Genomic DNA, 18,410 nt, shown 5'->3' on the forward strand with positions numbered 1-18,410 from the left:
AGCATGCCCTGCCTTCTTTTTTCTTTTTTTGAGACGGTCTCATTCTGTCACTCAGACTTTAGTACCGTGGCGCAATTGTGGCTCACTGTAACCTCAAATTCCTGGGCTCAAGCATTCCTCCCACCTCAGCCTCCTAAGCTGGTGGACTACAGGTGTGCTCCACCATGCCCAACTAATTTAATGTCCTGTAGAGATGAAGTCTCACTATGTTGCCCAGGCTGGTCTCAAACTCCCGGTCTTAAGGGATCCTCTCACCCTGGCTCCCCAAATGCTTGGATTACAGGTGTGAGCCACTGCACTCAGCGAATGTGCTTGCTCTCTTTTAGTTACGTTTTTTTCCCTTTCAGTTGCTTTTCTATGGTTTTTAAGGAAAAAATGTATCAGCTGGATATGGTGGCTCCTGTATGGTGGCCAGGTATGTGGAGCCTGTCTATAAAAAATACAAAAATTAGGCGTGGTGGTGTGCGCCTGTGGTCCCAGTTACTCAGGAGGCTGAGGTGGGAGGGTTGCCTGAATCTGGGGAGTTGAAGGCTGAAGCCCACTGCACTCCAGCCTGGATGATGGATTGAGACTTTGTTACAAAAAGAAAAAAAAAGTATCAATTTGTGTCTTGTGTCATTCCAAAAGGAAGAGGCAGCTTCGGTAAAAATGAGTATAAAGTAAAATAAAGGTAGAGGAGTCAGGCAAAGGAGTATAGTTAATATGCAAAATTGCACGGCAGGCTGGGCTCGGGCGAGGCTCACGCCTGGAATCCCAGCACTTTGGGTGTCTGAGGTGGGTGAATCCCTGGAACACAGTTGTTTGAGACCAGCTTGGACGACATAGTAACCATGTCTCTAAAAACAAACAACAAAAGTACATGGCAGAAGGTCCTGCACAAATGCCAAGGGGGGAAGAGGCGAAATTCACATTTGACATCCTGCTTCCTGATGGCCAGTACAAAAGAGAAACAGGGTTAGATAGGGATCCTAAGGTTAAGAATCTTATTAATTACTTAGGAGGCTGAGGCAGGAGAATGGCGTGAACCTGGGAGGCGGACCTTGCAGTGAGCCGAGATTGCGCCACTGCACTCCAGCCTGGGCAACAGAGCAAGACTCCGTCTCAAAAAAAAAAAAAAAAAAAAAAAAAAGAATCTTATCAATTACTGAGAACTCAGGGAAACCTCTGCTGTGGGTCTCCATGAAGGGGCCTGTGTGAATGGAGAGGGTGTGCATTGTGATATTTGGATGTTTGGAAAATCCAGCTAATCTGGGGAGAGTCAACTTTGTATCCTAGTCCTGAATCTTTTTTTTTGAGATGGAGTCTCGGTGTGTTGCACAGGCTGGAGTGCAGTGGCGCAGTCTCGACTTACTGCAACCTCTACCTCTTCGGTTCAAGTGATTCTCCCACCTCAGCCTCTGGAGTAGCTGGGATTTGATTACAGGCATATGCCACCACACCCAGCTAATTTTTGTGTTTTCAGTAGAGATGGGGTTTCACCATGTTGGCCAGGCTGGTCTCGAACTCCTGACCTCAAGTGATTCGCCCACCTCGGCCTCCCAAAGTTAGTAGAGACAGGGTTTCACCATGTTAGCCAGGATGGTCTCGATCTCCTCACCTCATGATCCGCCTGCCTCAGCCTCCCAAAGTGCTGGGATTACAGGCTTGAGCCACTGTGCCTGACCTGGATCATTATTTTTTAAAAATCTTTATTGTCTTTTTTCTGATTATAAAGGTAATATATGCTCATTATCAAATTTTACAATAGTTTGGAAATATATAATACAGAATGTGAAAGTTCTCTGTCCAGCCTGGGCAGCATGGCAAGACCCCGTCTCTACAAAAAATACAAAAATTAGCTGGGTGTGGTGTGCACACCTGGACACCTGTAGTCCCAGCTACTAAGGAGGCTCAGGTGGGAGCATCACTTGAGCCCAGAAGTTGAGGCTGCAGCAATCCCTGATTGTGCTACTGCACTCCAGTCTGGGTGACAGAATGAGACCCTGTCAAAAAAGAAAGGAAAGGGAGAAGGAAGGAAGGGAGGGAGGGAAAAGTAAAAAGAAAATTCTGTTATTCCAGCTCAGATCTAAACGGATCATGTTTTTTGGATAAGTGAATAAACTTTTCTGCCTTCTTCATAAGATGTTGGGTGAATCCAATGAGATAAAAGGTCTGTACCCATTGGGTAGGTGGGTAGGTGTGGTTATTACCCAGGATCCCCATGCCGGGCTCAGGGGGCCTGTGCGAGCCTTTCTCCGCCATCCTCCACACAGTGCTAGAGTATCCAAAGGCCTCCGTGGCTCCCCCCGTACGCGCCCTCCTGCCCGCCAGCCCCAGGTGCCTCAGCCTGGTGCCTCAGGCTCTTCCCAGTGCCCCAGGCTCTTCCCAGTGTCCCAGGTGTCCTGCCCCAGCCCAGGTGTCCAGGCTCAGTTGTCATTCTTCCTCCAGCTCTGAGGCACCAGGCAGCCTCACTCCTCTACTCCCAATCCAGTCTCCACTTCTGTGTCCAGGTCGTGTCCTCTGCCTGGGGTGTCCTCCCTTCTCCCATCACTACCTTTCGCACCCGAGGTCTGGAGGCTCCCAGCCATGGACTGTGCTCCAGGATCCTCTCCGCAGGAAACCAGTTCACGGTTCTCTCAACTTTACCTGCATGGGTAGAAGAAACTTAACAACCACCTCCTGGTTTTGTGGCTGACTGGTTTCGTGTGCTGTACCGGAGGCTCCTAAGGGCCGAGCTCCCCAAGCTGAGCTCAGTTGTCCAAATGGGACTTGCAGGTTCACCCCTCGGGCCTTTGGACTACAGTGTCCTCCTACTCCCTTCCATCCTCTCCTGCATACAGGTAATTCCTACTGACCTTTAGGCCTCACCCAAGCAGCACCTCCTCCGTGAAGCCCTCCCAGCCTGCCCCAGTGGTCCTGCCCTCTCCTTCCCCCCTCCAACTCACACTCCTGGTGCCCCCACCATGCTGGGAGCATCGAGACAGTGGCTGCTTCTCAATCCCCTGCATCACCAAGTCTCCCTTGGCTGGGGTGACCACGGGTGCACAGGGTGAATGAAATCAGAAGTGTATTTGGTTTTTGTCTTAATGATGACTTAACCATTTTAAGAAGTGTTATCACTCAAAGTAGAGTTCCCTCCAGAGGGCATGGGCTTATTCTCACATGTGGCCAACTCTCCCATCACCTTGGCCTCTGCAGAGGCCCTTTGAGCTGATGTACCGGATAGCAGTGTGGCCAGGGCAGGCTGGATGGAATCCCTCATGCACCACTTGCCAGCTCCCAGACCAAGGGAGCCAGCCTTGACCTTTCCCAGGGCCAGGTTCCCCACTGGTGAAATGGGATCTTAGGACACGACCTGTGAGAAGGTATGCAAGACCCCCCTCAGGAGCCTGGTCGGAAGGGCTGGTGACACAGCCTTTGCTGTTGCCAGGGGAGGGTGCCCAAAGATGAGTCAGGCGGCTGCTGACTGCAAGATGCTTAGAAAACATGGTGGGCATGACCTTTTCCATCCATCCATCCATCCATCCATCCATCCATCCATCCATCCATCCAATAAACATGCGTTGAGCACCAGTATTGAAATGGGCCCTAGGGATGGAGCAGCCCCAGCCCAGGCCTTGCCTAGCTCAGCCCAGCAGGAGGCCAGGCCTGAACACAAACCCCTGAGATCAACACACAGGCTCTGTGTGGAGCTGGGAAGATACTAGACAGCAAGAGAAGAGAGGAAACCCCATGCTGGGGGTGGCATGGGGTAGGGTATTTTCAAGGAGACAGGAGGTTGGGGTGGCAGAGGGGGCAGGGGGATGGGAAGGCCCAGCAGAGGGAACAGCATGTGCAAAGGCCCAGAGTATGAAAACTGGCTCTGTGCTTCTCTTTAGGCAAACACCGGGGTCAGGGAGGCTCTTCCTCTCTGCCCCTCCCACTGAGCTCTTCACACCCCGTCACATGGGTGGGGGTTCTTAACCTGGGATCCACAGAGAGAGGGGAGGGGAAGGGAGGTCAGAGGATAGAAGCCAGGGGGCTTCTGAATTTGGGTTGAAGGAATGTATGCGATCTCATTTTCACCCACCTCTGATATTAAAATTCCCACAGTAGTAGGTGTTAGCTGTCCCTGTGACTTTGTCACCAAGAGAAACCCAGATATATTCATATCACATTTCAGCTGTTGCAGAAATCTCTAAATATCATTTATACTCACTGGTATTTCAAAATCATGGTGAATATTAGACTTGCAACTTTAGTCTTGTTATTTAATGTGTGAGTAAAATACATTATTACATGTGTGTTAAGAATTTTATTAACTGTTACTGTATTTCTTTTCTCTCTTTCCTTCTGCAAGTCTCACTCTGTCGCCTAGGCTGGAGTGAAGTGGCACCCATCTCGGCTCACTGCAGCCTTGACTTCCCAGGCTTAAGGGATCCTCCTGCCTCAGCTCCCGAGTAGCTGGGCCCTCAGATGTGCTCCACCACGCCCGGCTAATTAAAAAAAAAAGTTTTTGTAGAGACGGTCTCACTATGTTGGCCAGGCTGGTCTCCAACTCCTAGGCTCAAGCGATCCTCCCGCCTCGGCCTCCCAAATTGTTGGGAAAACCGGCGTGAGCCCCGCGACCAGCCAACTATTTACCATAGTAGCCTTCCTTCCTAATCTTGTTATTTTATTCATCTAAAAATATTTTGAGAGGGGCTTTGTAGGCTTCCCCAGGCTGCGTCAGGGTCGGGATCTAGAGCGAGGACCAGGCTGGGGCGAGGGCGCCGTGTTCTCAACTGCAGGGCCTGAAGCGGGGCGGGAGGGTAAGGGCGCACACTACCCAGGCAGGGACAGGGACCCCGCAGAGCCTGCCAAGGGGCAGCCACGCGGCCCACGGAGCCGGAGATGAGGGAGGAGCCTGGCCCGCGCCCGGCCCCCGCTCGGGTCGGTGTAGCCCAGCCCCAGCCTCCCAACTGCTGAGGATGAGAGCAGGGCCGCGGCCTTCGCCCGGCGCAGCGCCTGCGTTCCCGCCGCCCTTCCCAGTGCCGCGAGGAAGCTGCGGCAGGAAGAAGGGCGGAGGTGCCCCGGGCGCCTGAGACGCCCGGCAATGGCCCCGCTACTCTCGCCGCGCACACGCAAAGCCGCTTCCCAGGCAGTTGCGGCGTTCGGGGCCCGCTTCCTCTCGGGCCGGGCCTTCGCCGGCCGCCTGCCCGTACAGGTGTCCCCCGGCTCCGTGACTGCGACTCTCCCAGCGGAGAGGGTCTCCCAGGAAGCAGGGGCGAGGAGCCCTCGAAGGTCTCGGGCGGCAGCGGCTCTCGGCGCAGAGGGCGGAGGGTACGACCGCGACACAGGCGGGGCGGCAGCTAGCTCGCGAGGTGCACCCGGCACAGGCCCCGCCCCGCGCTTCCGGCTCTCAGGGCCCTCGTGCCCCGCCCCGCCCTCCTCCCCGGGGCCCCTCGTCCCCCGCGCCCGCCTAGCCCCGCCCCGGCTGTGCTGGATCCTCGACGCCCATCGCCAGGGGTGGAATCCCAGCCCCGCCTAACACAGGTGGAAAGAGGCGCAGAGAGGCCTAGTGACGAGCTGGGATCACAGGGAGTTGATGGCAGCGCCGGGAGAGCCCAGGCTCCGAACTCCCGGGCTGGGTTCTGCCCCTACAGCCCGAAAAGAAAGCAAGGGAGCCGGTGAGGGTGACACCCAGATAGGGGCGAGATGCACATTTCGTGTTCCCAAGGTGGTGTCTGTAGTAAGATAAGTGAAACTCGAGGCCCAAACGAGGACAGAGCTCAACACACATTCTATTTTTTCAAGAAGGCAGGGAGGCTCCGAGTCAACCTGCTGAGTCAAAATCCAGACCCCAAGCATTCCTAAGCCGGGCCAGCTTCAGCCTCAGTGCCCCACGCCTCGGTTTCCTTATCCGTAAATTAGCGTAGTGTGTAGCTTGTACTTACTCAGGTAGATAATTATACGCCTTTTTAAAGCGGAGAAGAGAAGAAATGCTCTCATCCATTAGCAGTGGGATTCTGGGTGATTAAAACTCGTTTTTCAGTGCTCACCTGTCGAGTGAAAGCTGTCTTATTTCCACTCACTGGAGAGCTCTGGAGACTGGAAGCTGTGAGTCTTGGTTACTGATGTATTCCAGCTCCATATGGTGCCTGGTGCTTCGTATGTTTTGTTGACCGAATAAGCAAGTAACTGGAAGCATATACCCATCCTCTCGGATCACTCACTTGGGTAGGGAGTGATTATAATTCTACCCCAGAGCGGTCTTGATCATACGTGGAAATTGGGAGCTATAGGAGACAGGGCCCTGCAGTTAAAGGGAAGGGCAGGCTTCCCGGAAGAAGTGGCCCTAGTGGCAGGAGGAGTCTGGATGGGCCACACGTGGGCGGAGGCTCCAGCACAGGAGGCCCAGGCGTGCCTCCAGTTCAGCAGGACACAGCAGAAGGGTAGGATAGGCAAGTGGTTTGGCCACAGGTGAGGGCCCTGAGTCTGACAGTAAATCTACATTTTATCAGGGGACAGTGGGGACCGGTGGAGAGAGCTGGGAACAGGAAGACTGGCTGGGGAGGAGGCCTGGGGCAGTGCTCCTTAGGGTGCCACTATGGTCCACCGGTGAGGTGGTCTGGTCTGGAAGGATGGGAGGTTCATGAAAGACCAAGTTAATCAGGAGTCGACCTTCCTGCAGAGCAAACTCCAGGCCCAGATGGCATCCTCCGTGAGTTTTAATATACATGTATGGAACAAAGAGTTCCGCTTTTATACAAACTCAGAACACAGAAAAAGAGGGGACTGCCCAACTGGTTCGGTGAGGCAATGATAACCTTGACACCAACACCTAATAAGGGAAATATGAAAAAGAAAAAGGACAGGGCAATCTCATTCATGAAAAATAGACACAAAAATCCTACACGAGTAACAAACTGAATCTGGCAGCTTCTAAAAAAGACAATACAACACAGTCAAGCCTGTTTCTCTCAGGAGCGCAGGGTCCGTCAGCATTGGAAAACTCAGCATCATCTATCACTTTAATGGAAAAAAGGAAAAGACATACCATCCTCTCTAGGCTCGTAGAGAAAACTAAAGATCCACTCATGAGAAAAACTCTTAGCAACCTAAGAATGGAAGGGACTTCCTTGCCCTGACAAAGGGTAGCTGTAAAACCCCATAACAAACATCGTAGATAGTGGAGGAACAATGATAGCTTTCCCTGTGAGAATGGAAACATGGCAACGATGCCCACTGTCACCACCTCCAGTAGGGTGCAAACTGTACGGGAAGTCCAGGCCAGGGAAGAAAGGCAAGGAAAAAGAAAAGGATATAAAGATCTGAAAGGAAAAAAACAAACTGTCATTATTTAGAGATGATATAAAAGCCAAAGAATCACAAGGTAAGTTACCATGAGAGTTTAGTGAGCTTGCTAGATATAAAAATCAATATACACAAACCCACTGCATTTTCATTTAAAAAATTTTTATTTATCTTTTGAGATGGGGTTTTGCTATGTTGCCCAGGCTGGAATGCAGCCTCCTGGGCCCAAGCAATACTCCCACCTCAGCCTTCTGAGTACCTGGGACTATAGGCACTCTCAGCTGCATTTTAAAATTCCAGCTGTAACAGTTAAAACATCCAGCAAGAAAAATCATTTATAGGCTGGGTGCGGTGGCTCACACTCCCAGCACTTTGGGAGGCCGAGGTGGGCAGATCATGAGGTCAGGAGATCAAGACCATCCTGGCTAACACGGTGAAACCCTGTCTCTACTAAAAAATACAAAAAAAGTTAGCCGGGCGTGGTGGCACACACCTGTAGCCCTAGCTACTCAGGAGGCTGAGGCAGGAGAATCGCTTGAACCCAGGAGACGGAAGTTGCAGTGAGCCGAGATTGTGCCACTGCACTCCAGCCTGGGCGACAGGGCGAGACTGTGTCTCAAAAAAGAAAAAAAAAAATTTATAATAATATCACAGACCTCTTAATAAAACAAGTACATACAGAGATCTCAGGAAAGAAATAAAATAAAACAATTTTTTTTTCTTTTTTGAAACAGTCTTGCTCTGTCACCCAGGCTGGAGTGCAATGGCACGATCTGGGCTCACTGCAACCTCTGCCTCCTGGGTTCAAGTAATTCTCCTGCCTCGGCCTCCCAAGTAGCTGGGATTACAGGCGCCCGCCATGACGCCCAGCCAATTTTTGTATTTTTGTAGAGACAGGATTTCACCATGTTGGCCAGGCTGGTCTCAAACTCCTGACCTCAAGTAATCTGCCTGCCTTGGCCTCCCAAAGTGCTGGGATTACAGGCACGAGCCACCGCACCTAGCCAAGAAAACAATTTTTTTAAAAGTACAAGATCTCTATGGAGAAAATCAGAAACCCTGATTGTGAGACAAAGGGGACATTGTAACTAGAGAGATATACCGCGTCCATGGATTAACATTAAAAGAAGTCCACTTTCTCCATGTGATTTATAAGATCCATGCAATCCCAATTAAAACCCCAATGGTGCAAAGCAATAAAGAAATGCAAGGCTGTATCACATCACAAAACTGCACTAGGACCTGTAGGGAGAAGGAACGGTCATGGTCAGGCTGGGGCACAGCCTCTGGGATGCTGGCTGTGTTTATATCTTTACCTGGGTGCTGGTTCATGATACAATTATTCTCTAACTTCTTTGCACAGTTTTTGTATACACTTCTGTATGTATACCTTTCTCACCAAATTGAAAGCAAAGGAATAAAATGTAGAGACTATCAGAAAAAGGACAGCATTTAGTGACTCAATGTGAAAGCAAGAGGGGCTTGAGGAGTCAAAGATAACTGTGTAATAGAGGGCCATTTTATTTCTGGACTCAGAACTAAGGTTGAGTCTCCCCCGCTTGCCCATGCTTCCAGGAGCACACTCTCCTGACTTGATGCAGCCGGCAGGGCTCTGGCCACCAGCCTTAGTGCTTTGGAAACAGGTCCCCCCACTTCTGCCCTTCTCAGTGACTTATCTCTACCTCTTGCCTCGTGCACCCCAGCGCTGTTCTACTGGCCAGCCCGTGCCCCTTCTGCTTGCCAAGTGCCAACCTCTGAGCCCCATCCTGAACACCTGTTGCAGCCCAGCAAAGCCCCCTGTGCCAGCTTCGATGCCTCATTGGAACAGGAATGGCACTGGTCAACAGCACAGCACCTGCTCACAGAACCTGCTGGGCCTGGGCTAGAAGCCTGGCTTCAGTGCCCACCCGCTGCCACTCATGTCTGTTTGTATCAACCGCTGTTTTCCTAGCCCCGGCTGATTCTAGCAAGGCACAGGGTAAAAGAGAGGTGGCCCTGTCTGCTGGTGCTCACAAGCTTCTGGGCAAACTGATGATGGCCTGACTGATGGCGTCTTCAGTGAGCGAGGTCCTGCAGGACAGCACGTGGGAGGCCCTGCCTGGTCCTGCCGTGGCCTGCTCCACAGGCTTCAGTCTCCCCACCCTGGTCCTGGGCGCACCCAGTGAGCTCCTGTAAACTATTATAAAAGCCCACGTGGAAGCTGGCAGAAATGGGCCCTTTTTGTTGTGACTTTGTTTTTTTGAGACGGAGTCTCACTCTGTCGCCCAGGCTGGGGTGCAGTGGTGTGATCTTGGCTCACCGCAACCTCTGCCTTCTAGGTTCAAGCAATTCTCCCACCTCAGCCGCCCGGAGTAGCTGGGATTACAGGTGTGCGCCACTAAGCCCCAGCTAATTATTTTTGTATTTTTAGTAGAGATGGGGTTTTACCATGTTGGCCAGGCTGGTCATGAACTCCTGACCTCAAGTGATCTGTCCACCTTGGCCTCCCAAAGTGCTGGGATTACAGGCGTGAGCCACCACACCCAGCCCAGTTGTGACTTTTTAGGGCACTTTTCATACATACAAATCTATTTCAACCCAGAGGGGATGTACCCAAGGTCACACTGCATTGGTAGCATGGTGAGTAGAATTCGGGTCTCCTGATTTTTGGCCAGTGCTCACCCCTCCTCTGCTCTGTGCTTCCATAGCAACGTCCCAGTGCTCTTCATGGAAACACACTTAGGATATACCAGGAAGAAGGCACCAAGCTAAGTTTCTTTATATGTACCACCTAACTTCATTCTCACAATCACCTTGAAAGCCAGGCCTGCTTCTCTGCTGGGGCTCAGAGAGGTTAGGTCACTTGTCCAAGGTCACACAGCTAGTAAGAGTGAGGACTGAAGCAGGAGCAGTTCTGTGTTCTTTCTATTCATTTCCAGCTCGGACATCATTTCAGATGCAGTAACTGAAGCAAGGAATTTGAGCTGAAGGGGGCAGGTGCTGGGAAGACACAAGGGGCACCACTGTTGCCAGTTTGTTAAAATGTCAAAGCACCGCCAGATTCAGAGCTCTCACTCCCCCAAAGGTGAAGTCATCTCAGGCTCTAGGCACAGGGCCCAATGCTATGCAAGGCCATGAGCTAATACAAGCCCAGACTGCTGGGCCTTGTGTTCTCTTCTCCTTGTGGTATCAGTTTCCTTTTCTTCATACCTCTTTGTCCCAGTTAACTCCTGTGTTTTGCGAAGTCTAAGGTCATTTTAAAGGCAGACACAGGGCTGGGCATGATAGCTCACTCCTGTTATCCAAGCACTTTGGGAAGCCTAAGTGGGAGGATCCCTTGAGCCCAGGAGTTTGAGACTACCCTGGGCAATACAGCAGGATCCTGCCTTTTTTTTTTTCTTTTTTTTTTTTTTGAGATGGAGTCTCGCTCTGTCGCCCAGGCTGGTGCGATCTCTTGCAGTGGTGCAATCTCGGCTCACTGCAACCTCCACCTCCCGGGTTCAAGCAATTCTCCTGCTGGAGACTCTGGAGTAGCTGGGACTACAGGCGCCCACGACCATGCCCAGCTAATTGCTGTATTTTTAGTAGAGACAGGGTTTCACCATGTTGGCCAGGCTGGTCTCAAACTCCTGACCTTGTGATTCACCCACCTCGGCATCCCAAAGTGCTGGGATTACAGGCATGAGCCACCGTGTCCGGCCAGGATCCTGCCTCTTAAAAAAAAATGTATATGTATATTTTCAAATCACGGTCTCACTCTTGTCACCCAGGCTGGAGAGCAGTGGCACAATCATGGCATATCTGTATTTATTTATTTATTTATTTATTTATTTATTTAGAGAAAGAGTCTTGCTCTGTTGCCCAGGCTGGAGTGCGGTGGCGTGATCTCGGCTGACTGCAACCTCCACCTCCCAGGTTCAAGTGATTCTCATGCCTCAGCCTCCCGAGTAGCTGGAATCACAGACATGTGCCACCACTCCTGGCTAATTTTTGTACTTTTAGTAGAGATGGGATTTCGCTATGTTGGCCAGGATGCTCTCAAACTCCTGACCTCAAGCCACCTCGGCTTCCCAAAGGGCTGGGATTATAGGCGTGAGCCACCATGCCCGGCCTACAGAAATATTTAAAAAAAAAAATTAGCCAGGCATGGTGGTGGTGTGCACCTGTTGTCCCAGCTGCTAAAGAGGCTGAGGTGGGAGGATCACTTGAACCCAGGAGTACTAGGCTGCAGTAAGCCATGATTGTGCCACTGCGCTCCAGCCTGGGAGACAGAGTGAGACCATGACTGTTGAGAAATAAAAAATAGGCCGGGCGCAGTGGCTCACGCCTGTAATCCCAGCACTTTGGGAGGCTGAGGTGGGCGGATCACGAGGTCAGGATATCGAGACCATCCTGGCTAATACGGTGAAACCCCGTCTCTACTAAAAATATAAACAAACAAACAAACAAACAAAACAGCTGGGCATGGTGGCGGGCACCTGTGGTCCCAGCTACTCAGGAGGCTGAGGCAGGAGAATGGTGTGAACCCGGGAAGCAGAGCTTGCAGTGAGCCAAGATCGCACCACTGCACTCCAGCCTGGGCGACAGAGCAAGACTCCGTCTCAAAAATAAATAAATAAATAAATAATAAAATACAGGCAGACACAGGATAGCTGACACTCGAGGCTGCTGCCCAGTAGGTGCCCCAGGAAGTTGGCTCCCTCACATCTGCCCTGACCTCTTCCAGCTCGTCCAAGCGGCTCACCATCACCATGGAGCTTCCGAGAAAGTCGCCCACTCCAGAAGCAGCCTTACTGCTTTCACAGCTTTTATGATTTAAGGCTGAGTTGTTACTTTGCCCCCAAGGTAGGCCCATAAATCTGCCCTTAGGACAGAGTTACATCCATGACCCAGGCCCCATTCTGCTAAGGAGTTCTTTTGGTTGTTTGTAGGACCTGACCCTTGTAACTTGGTTTAAAGCAGGCTGGACAGTTTAAACCAAGCCCAAGCATATGCAATGTGTAAAATACAGGCTGAATTTACAGCAGGAAGTTGGTTCTCCTCTCGGGACAACCAGGGCCCTTGAGTTTTGGGAACTGGAACAACAGAGGCTCCCAGAGGGGAAGTGACTTTCAATCCAGTTCAGATATTGAGCACCTCTCTGTGTAAGGCTTGCGATACTAGCTCTTTGCTAACAACCGCAGCCCCAAAGGCTGCTCTTAACTGGGCGTGGCCTCACTGCCTCGGCAGGCTTTCACTTCAGGAGCATTGATTGAGCCGCTCTTTGTAAGCAGCAGTGGAATCAAGTAGCAACCGACACAATCAACAGGGAGAGATAACCAAGCACCCAAACCAGCACAGAACTGCAAACTGCGCTGCTATGAAAACACAGATGGGGTGAGGGAGAAGGAATATTGGGGAGGGTGGAGCTGCCCGGCTCGCGGTAAGCAGAGGATCTTTGCAGCGGAGATATTTAAGCTGAGACCTGGAGAAGAGGAACTAGCAGAGCAAAGAAACAGGAGAGCAAGGGAAAAGCATTCCAGGCAGAGGGAACCACATGTGCTAAGGCAATGAGGAAGGAGGAGTGTGGTGTGTTTGAGGAATCTGGCCTGTGCGAGGGGCATACGACAGGAGTTGAAGCAGGCAGGGGAGGAGCTACGCCTTAAGCCTTGGTCGGGGGTTTGCATTTCCTTTTCAGTAAAACTGTCTTTTGAAGGGTTCTCAGCAAGGGAATTCCATGATTAGATTTGTCTTTAAAATGCCATGGGCTGTGGGGGTGAGTGATGAGCGGAAGCTGGAAGGCCACAGGGGAGCCCCAGGGGTGGGGCTTGGGGTGCAGGTCTGATGTGGGAAGTGTAGGAAATTACTCTCAGTATTTAAACTGACAAGGGTTAATACAGGGAATTAGGAGCTTATGGGATAGGCTGAAAACAATGGGCTGGGGATCCGGGAATGGCTGACCCACCAAAAAGAGCCAAGTCAGGAAGGTGGGATCAGGGGGCCTCCACTAGCATTACTGAGTTCAAGAGTGTGCAGCTGCGGGGTGACCAGGGGTTCAGAAAACAATGTGACCACTCCTGCAACAACTTCCTCCTGGCGCCCACAAACCGAGGCGCAGACACGGAATGAGCTCCGTCTCCATGAACTTGCCAGAAAACAAAATAGGGGGAAGACTATTAATCCACCTGACTTCAGCCTTCCCAAACGGAACATCTGATTGAAGAAGCCCAGTCTTCTTCCAGGACCCCAGTTCCCAGAGAGTTTGAGAAACAGTTTTTACCTTGCCAGTCTGCAGACCCAGAGGAAATGCCAAAGAGGAGGCCTAGCCCATCCCATTCCCAGCACCCAAGAGGGGAGAAGGAGAAACACCGGGGAGACCTGGCTTGTCGGTGGAGTAGGTGTGGAGACGCAGGCTGGCCCCCAGGGCTCTGATTTATACAGTGGGTGGATGGGGGGAGGGAAGGAAGGAAGGAAGACAGGATGCGAGGGCAGGCTAGGGGTCCAGCTGTGGGGGCCCATGCAGAGCTCCAGAGGCTCTGGCCTTTTCCAGCCCTGTGGTTCAAGGGGACCGGGGGGCAGTGCTTCTCTATAGATCACTGACCCACAGGGAGAGAAATCAATTAAAGCCTGTTTACTCACTGAAAAATAACTTAGGCTGGAATTTTTCAAGGGGGAAAAGAAAGCCCCAAAGCACAATGCATCTGCTGGCCACTGGCTCTATTAATAACATAGAAAGCCATCGCCAATAAACAGAACAAGTGTGAAATACACACAGTGCCTCTATTAAAAGGGAGGAGGGGGTGGGAAGACAGACATACCAGGGACGGGAAAAGAAAAAACTGACACACCAGGAGGAGGACAGGAAGAGACTGCGAGAGACAAGATGGGAGAGCTGGGTCACAGGCAGGATGAGAACTAGTGAATAGGCAGCTGCAGTCAAAGACACAGATGCGAGGAGGTGCGAGGAGTGATTTTGCTCTTTGTCCCCTAAGTAGGAGCTCTGTTTGATTCACTGTAAAGGCTATCCCATGCTTCTGAAAGCAGTCTCTAAATCCTCAGCTGAGTTGCTGACGTGACCTGTACCAGCTGGAACAGCCTAGATGCACTTCTCAATCTGCTTCCCAGTGACCCACATGTGGCCATGTCTCATAGCTTTGAATAGTGAGCTCTTATTGCACACACTTGCTGGGAGGTCAGTGGATGAGTTTCATCTTTAATTCTTTATTCTCTCCCCTGCCTTGCCTAAGGTAACCATTATTAACTAATGAGTGTGTATCTCCCATTCCTTTCTTTGTGCTCACGTAACATATCAACACAGCTAGCTGGACTGATAGGAGGAGTGGCAGGTTTCAACAGAGACATACAAGTACAGTTCAAAGCCCAAAGCCATGTGTAACACACATACCATGCTGATCAGGGGAATATGGTCGCTCAAGAGGGAGGGCTTATGTCGGGCTGGAATGCTGGGAAAGTGGCATCTCAGGCGGAAGTTGAAGGATTAAGTGTCCAGAGGCAGAGTGTGGGGAGGAATACATTCCAGGTAGAAGGCAAAGCAAGGAGACAGCTGGGACATGGCAGATAACATGGTGTAACTGCCAGGAAGATATATGCAGAAGGGTGGTGGCTTTTGAGTAGAGGAAGATCAGGGCCAGAGAGCCAACTTAAGAAAATCAGCGTTCGTTACAGCGCACTGAGCAACCAGGATGAAAGCAGAAAAACTCTAGCAGTTCAACAGCCGATCTCAGGACCGTGCTTACAGATCAAGTAACTGGACTAAATCAGCTCCAGGGTCTCTTTTCACTCAAATTCTATGATGCCCACCAAATCAGTAAATCTAAATACCACCTCTTCCCACCTTAAAAAAGAGATGTTCCATGAAGAGTGTCTTGGTACCCAGTTGGCTCATCATTACTGAGCTCTGGGTGCCCAGTGGTGGCTGCCACATGGGAGCACTTGATATTTAGTGAACTGAATTAGTTGCTTTTTTGGTCTCCTATATAGTTCACTGTGGAAACAGACTGATGATTCCGTTACAACATAGTCAGTACAATGAAGGAACACCCAGACTATGGGCACACAGTGACTCTCCAGGGAACAGTTTCAGAGACAAAGAGACAAAGAAGGTCAAAATTTTTTAGAGAATTATACAGGCGGTGAGAAGTTAAACTTTTTAGCTATGAGGGAGGGAGGGAGGAAAGGAAGTAGGAAGCAGGTAGAGCTCTTGAATTCAGTTAACCACAAAACACAGTTAACCATGTCACTACACTATTATGTTTTAAACAGGGAGACCAGCTTTCCACTTTAATTTTTCCTTCTGGTGGGGAAATGTTACAGTTGGCTAAAGCAGCCGAAAGACCGGCTCCAAAATGAGAAATCAGGGGAAAAGCATAAACTCAAAATAGATGATTTGGCTTCAACAGCTTTTCTTTTTTTAGTTAATTTTTTTTTTTTTTGAGAGACAGGGTCTCACTCTGCCCCCTAGACTGGAGTGCAGCAGCGCAATCACAGCTCACTGCAGCCTTGACCTCTTGGGCTCAAGGGATCCCTACCTCAGCCTCCCAAGTAGCTGGGACCATAGGCACATGCTATCATGTCTGTCTGATTTTTGTATTTTTTTGTAGACACGGGGTCTCACTATGTTGCCCAGGCTGGTCTTGAACTCCTGGACTTAAATAATTATCTTGCCTCAGCCTCCCAAAGTGCTGTGATTACAGGCATGAACCACCGTGCACAGCTGGCTTTCACAGCTTAAATTTTTTTTTCTTAATATAAAACATAAAAACTGTGTATGTATAGACCCACGTTCATAACAGCATTATTCACAATAGCTAAAACATATAAGCAACCCAAGTGTCCAATGACAGATGAATAAGCAAAATGTGGTAGATACATACAATGAAATATTACTCAGCCTGAAAAAGGAAGGAAATTCTGACACATGCTACAACATGGATGACCTTTAGGACATTATGCTAAGTTCTAATAAGAGAGTCGCAAAAAGACAAATACTGTATGAGCCGACCAATATAAATGAGGTACCCAGGGTAGTCAAAATCATAGAGATAAGAATCAGAATGGTGGTTACCAGGGCTGGGAGAAGGAGGGAATGGGGAGTTATTGTTTAATGGGTATACAGTTTCAGTTTTGCAAGATGAAGAGTTCTGGAGATGGATGGTGATGATGGCTGCACAACAATATGAATGTACTCAATTCATATTGTATTGAACTGTACATTTTAAAAATGGTTAAGATGGCCAGGCCTGGTGGCTTACGCCTGTAATCTCCCAGCACTTTGGGAGGCTGAGGTGGGCAGATCACTTGAGGTCAGGAGTTCGAGACCAGCCTGGCCAACATGGTGAAACCCCATCTCTACTAAAAATAACAAACATTAGTTGGGCGTGATGGTGTACGCCTGTAATCCCAGCTACTCAGGAGGCTGAGGCACAAGAATCGCTTGAACCCAGGAGGCGGAGGTTGCGGTGAGCCGAGATTGCGCCGCTGCACTGCAGCTTGGGTGACAGAGTGAGAATCTGTCTAAAAAAAAATAGGCTGGGCACGATGGCTCGTGCCTGTAATCCCAGCACTTTGGGAGGCCGAGGTGGGCGGATCGCCTGACACCAGGAGTTCGAGACCAGCCTGGCCAACGTAGTGAAACCCCATCTCTACTAAAAATACAAAAATTAGCTGGGTGTGGTGGTGTGTGCCTGTTCCAGCTACTTGGGAAGCTGAGACAGGAGAATCGCTTGAACCCCAGGAGGCGGAAGTTGCAGTGAGCCAAGATTGTGCCACTGCACTCCAGCCTGGGCGACAGAGCAAGACTTCGCCTCAAAAAACAAAATTAAAAAAAAAAATACATACAATGGTTAAGATGGTAAATTTTGTTATGTGCATTTTGTAACAAAAATTTTTAAATGCATGTTTGATTACTACACACATACAAAGTAAAAAATAAAACCAATAGATGCAGTGTCTCACATCTGTAATCTTAGCACTTTGGGAGGCTGAGGCAGGAGGACTGCTTGAGCCCACCAGCCTGGGCAATATAGGGAGACCCCGTTTCTACAAAAGAAATTTAAAAATTAGCTGGGCACGGTGGCTCATGCCTTGAATCCCAGGAATTTGGGAGGGTGAGGCGTGAGGATCTCTTGAGCCCAGGAGTCCAAGACCAGCCCTGGCAACATAGCGAGACCCTGTCTCTAGAAAAAATACAAAAATTAGCTGGGCATGGTGGTGTGTGCCTGTGGTTCCAGCAACTCAGGGGGCTGAGGTGGGAGGATCGCTTGAGCAAGAAAGGTCAATGTCGCAGTGAGCTATGAAAACGCGACTGCACTCCAGCTTGGCTGACAGAGTGATAACCCAATCTCAAAAAAAAAAAAAATTAGCTGGGCACGGTGGTGTGTACCTGTGCTTCCAGCTACTCAGGAGGCTGGATTGCTTGAGGCAGGAGGATCCCGTGAGCCTGGGAAGTCAAGGCTACAGAGAGCTGTGTTCAAGTCAGCCTGGGTAACAGAGTGAGACCCTATCCCCAAAAAATAAAAATACAAAATAAACCCAATCACCCAAATCCTAGTTTGCAGAGGCAAACTACATTACATTTGTGCTCATTTTATCACAGTCCCTCTTCATGTTAAAACCATTTATAAAATCTATGGTTTTATATCTGGTGGATTGCACATAGGTAGCCCATAAAACTCCCAAGAGGAGACTCTTTTGCCATACAGAAGAGTTAGCTCCCCTTACAATGCCCCACCCATTTCCGCAGGGAACTACTGACAGTCTGATGTGCATCACTATCAGTTGGGAATAGGTCCATTTCGAGTTACCAACATCCCTGTACAGTGGCTCACATGTGCAGCCCAGTGGTAGTGAGTTCATGATTGATAGTGCCTGACCAATGACTGTAATTCTCTTAGCCTTTTCTTTAGGTGGTGGCCGCCGCCCTGGCCATCACACAGGTTTTCAGGCAGGCAAAAGGAGGGCTGTATTCTGAAGTTCTATCTTTTTATTAGGGAAGAGAAGCTTCTCTAGTAACACATTTCCCTTTACATTTCACTGGCCAGAACTGGGTCGCATTCCCCCAACTCTGCAGATCCACCACTGGCCGAAGGGAGTAAGATTGCCTTGGTTGTTCAACCAATCAGGATTCACTTCTCAAGCTAAGGTAGATTCTTTCCCTCTCCTCAAGGCATCAGAAGATT

The 18,410-nt window shown here is 50.1% G+C and overlaps 1 long non-coding RNA gene across 1 annotated transcript in view, besides 6 other annotated features; it reads right to left on the reverse strand.

Annotated features, from left to right (window-relative positions):
• YY1-DT (YY1 divergent transcript) overlaps positions 1 to 18,410 on the reverse strand; it is a 31,542-nt gene that overhangs the window by 2,160 nt on the left and 10,972 nt on the right. The window lies entirely within an intron of this gene.
• Positions 4,504 to 5,004: an enhancer, noted in NCBI's record as "H3K27ac hESC enhancer chr14:100680080-100680580 (GRCh37/hg19 assembly coordinates)". NCBI's record gives its function as "activates a minimal SCP1, AML or CMV promoter by ChIP-STARR-seq in primed H9 embryonic stem cells {active_cell/tissue: H9 hESC(primed)}" and the evidence as "EXISTENCE:reporter gene assay evidence [ECO:0000049][PMID:30033119]".
• Positions 4,504 to 5,461: a biological region, named in NCBI's record as "H3K27ac hESC enhancer GRCh37_chr14:100680080-100680580".
• Positions 4,742 to 5,461: a silencer, noted in NCBI's record as "silent region_6078". NCBI's record gives its function as "represses an Ori minimal core promoter by ATAC-STARR-seq in GM12878 lymphoblastoid cells {active_cell/tissue: GM12878}" and the evidence as "EXISTENCE:reporter gene assay evidence [ECO:0000049][PMID:35858748]".
• Positions 5,682 to 5,731: an enhancer, noted in NCBI's record as "active region_9029". NCBI's record gives its function as "activates an Ori minimal core promoter by ATAC-STARR-seq in GM12878 lymphoblastoid cells {active_cell/tissue: GM12878}" and the evidence as "EXISTENCE:reporter gene assay evidence [ECO:0000049][PMID:35858748]".
• Positions 8,671 to 9,172: an enhancer, noted in NCBI's record as "H3K4me1 hESC enhancer chr14:100684247-100684748 (GRCh37/hg19 assembly coordinates)". NCBI's record gives its function as "activates a minimal SCP1, AML or CMV promoter by ChIP-STARR-seq in primed H9 embryonic stem cells {active_cell/tissue: H9 hESC(primed)}" and the evidence as "EXISTENCE:reporter gene assay evidence [ECO:0000049][PMID:30033119]".
• Positions 13,973 to 14,267: a silencer, noted in NCBI's record as "tiled region #8458; K562 Repressive non-DNase unmatched - State 5:Enh". NCBI's record gives its function as "represses a minimal TATA promoter and a strong SV40 promoter by Sharpr-MPRA in K562 cells {active_cell/tissue: K562}" and the evidence as "EXISTENCE:reporter gene assay evidence [ECO:0000049][PMID:27701403]".

The sequence above is a fragment of the Homo sapiens genome, chromosome 14 (genome assembly GCF_000001405.40).
Source record: "Homo sapiens chromosome 14, GRCh38.p14 Primary Assembly".
NCBI lineage: Eukaryota > Metazoa > Chordata > Mammalia > Primates > Hominidae > Homo > Homo sapiens.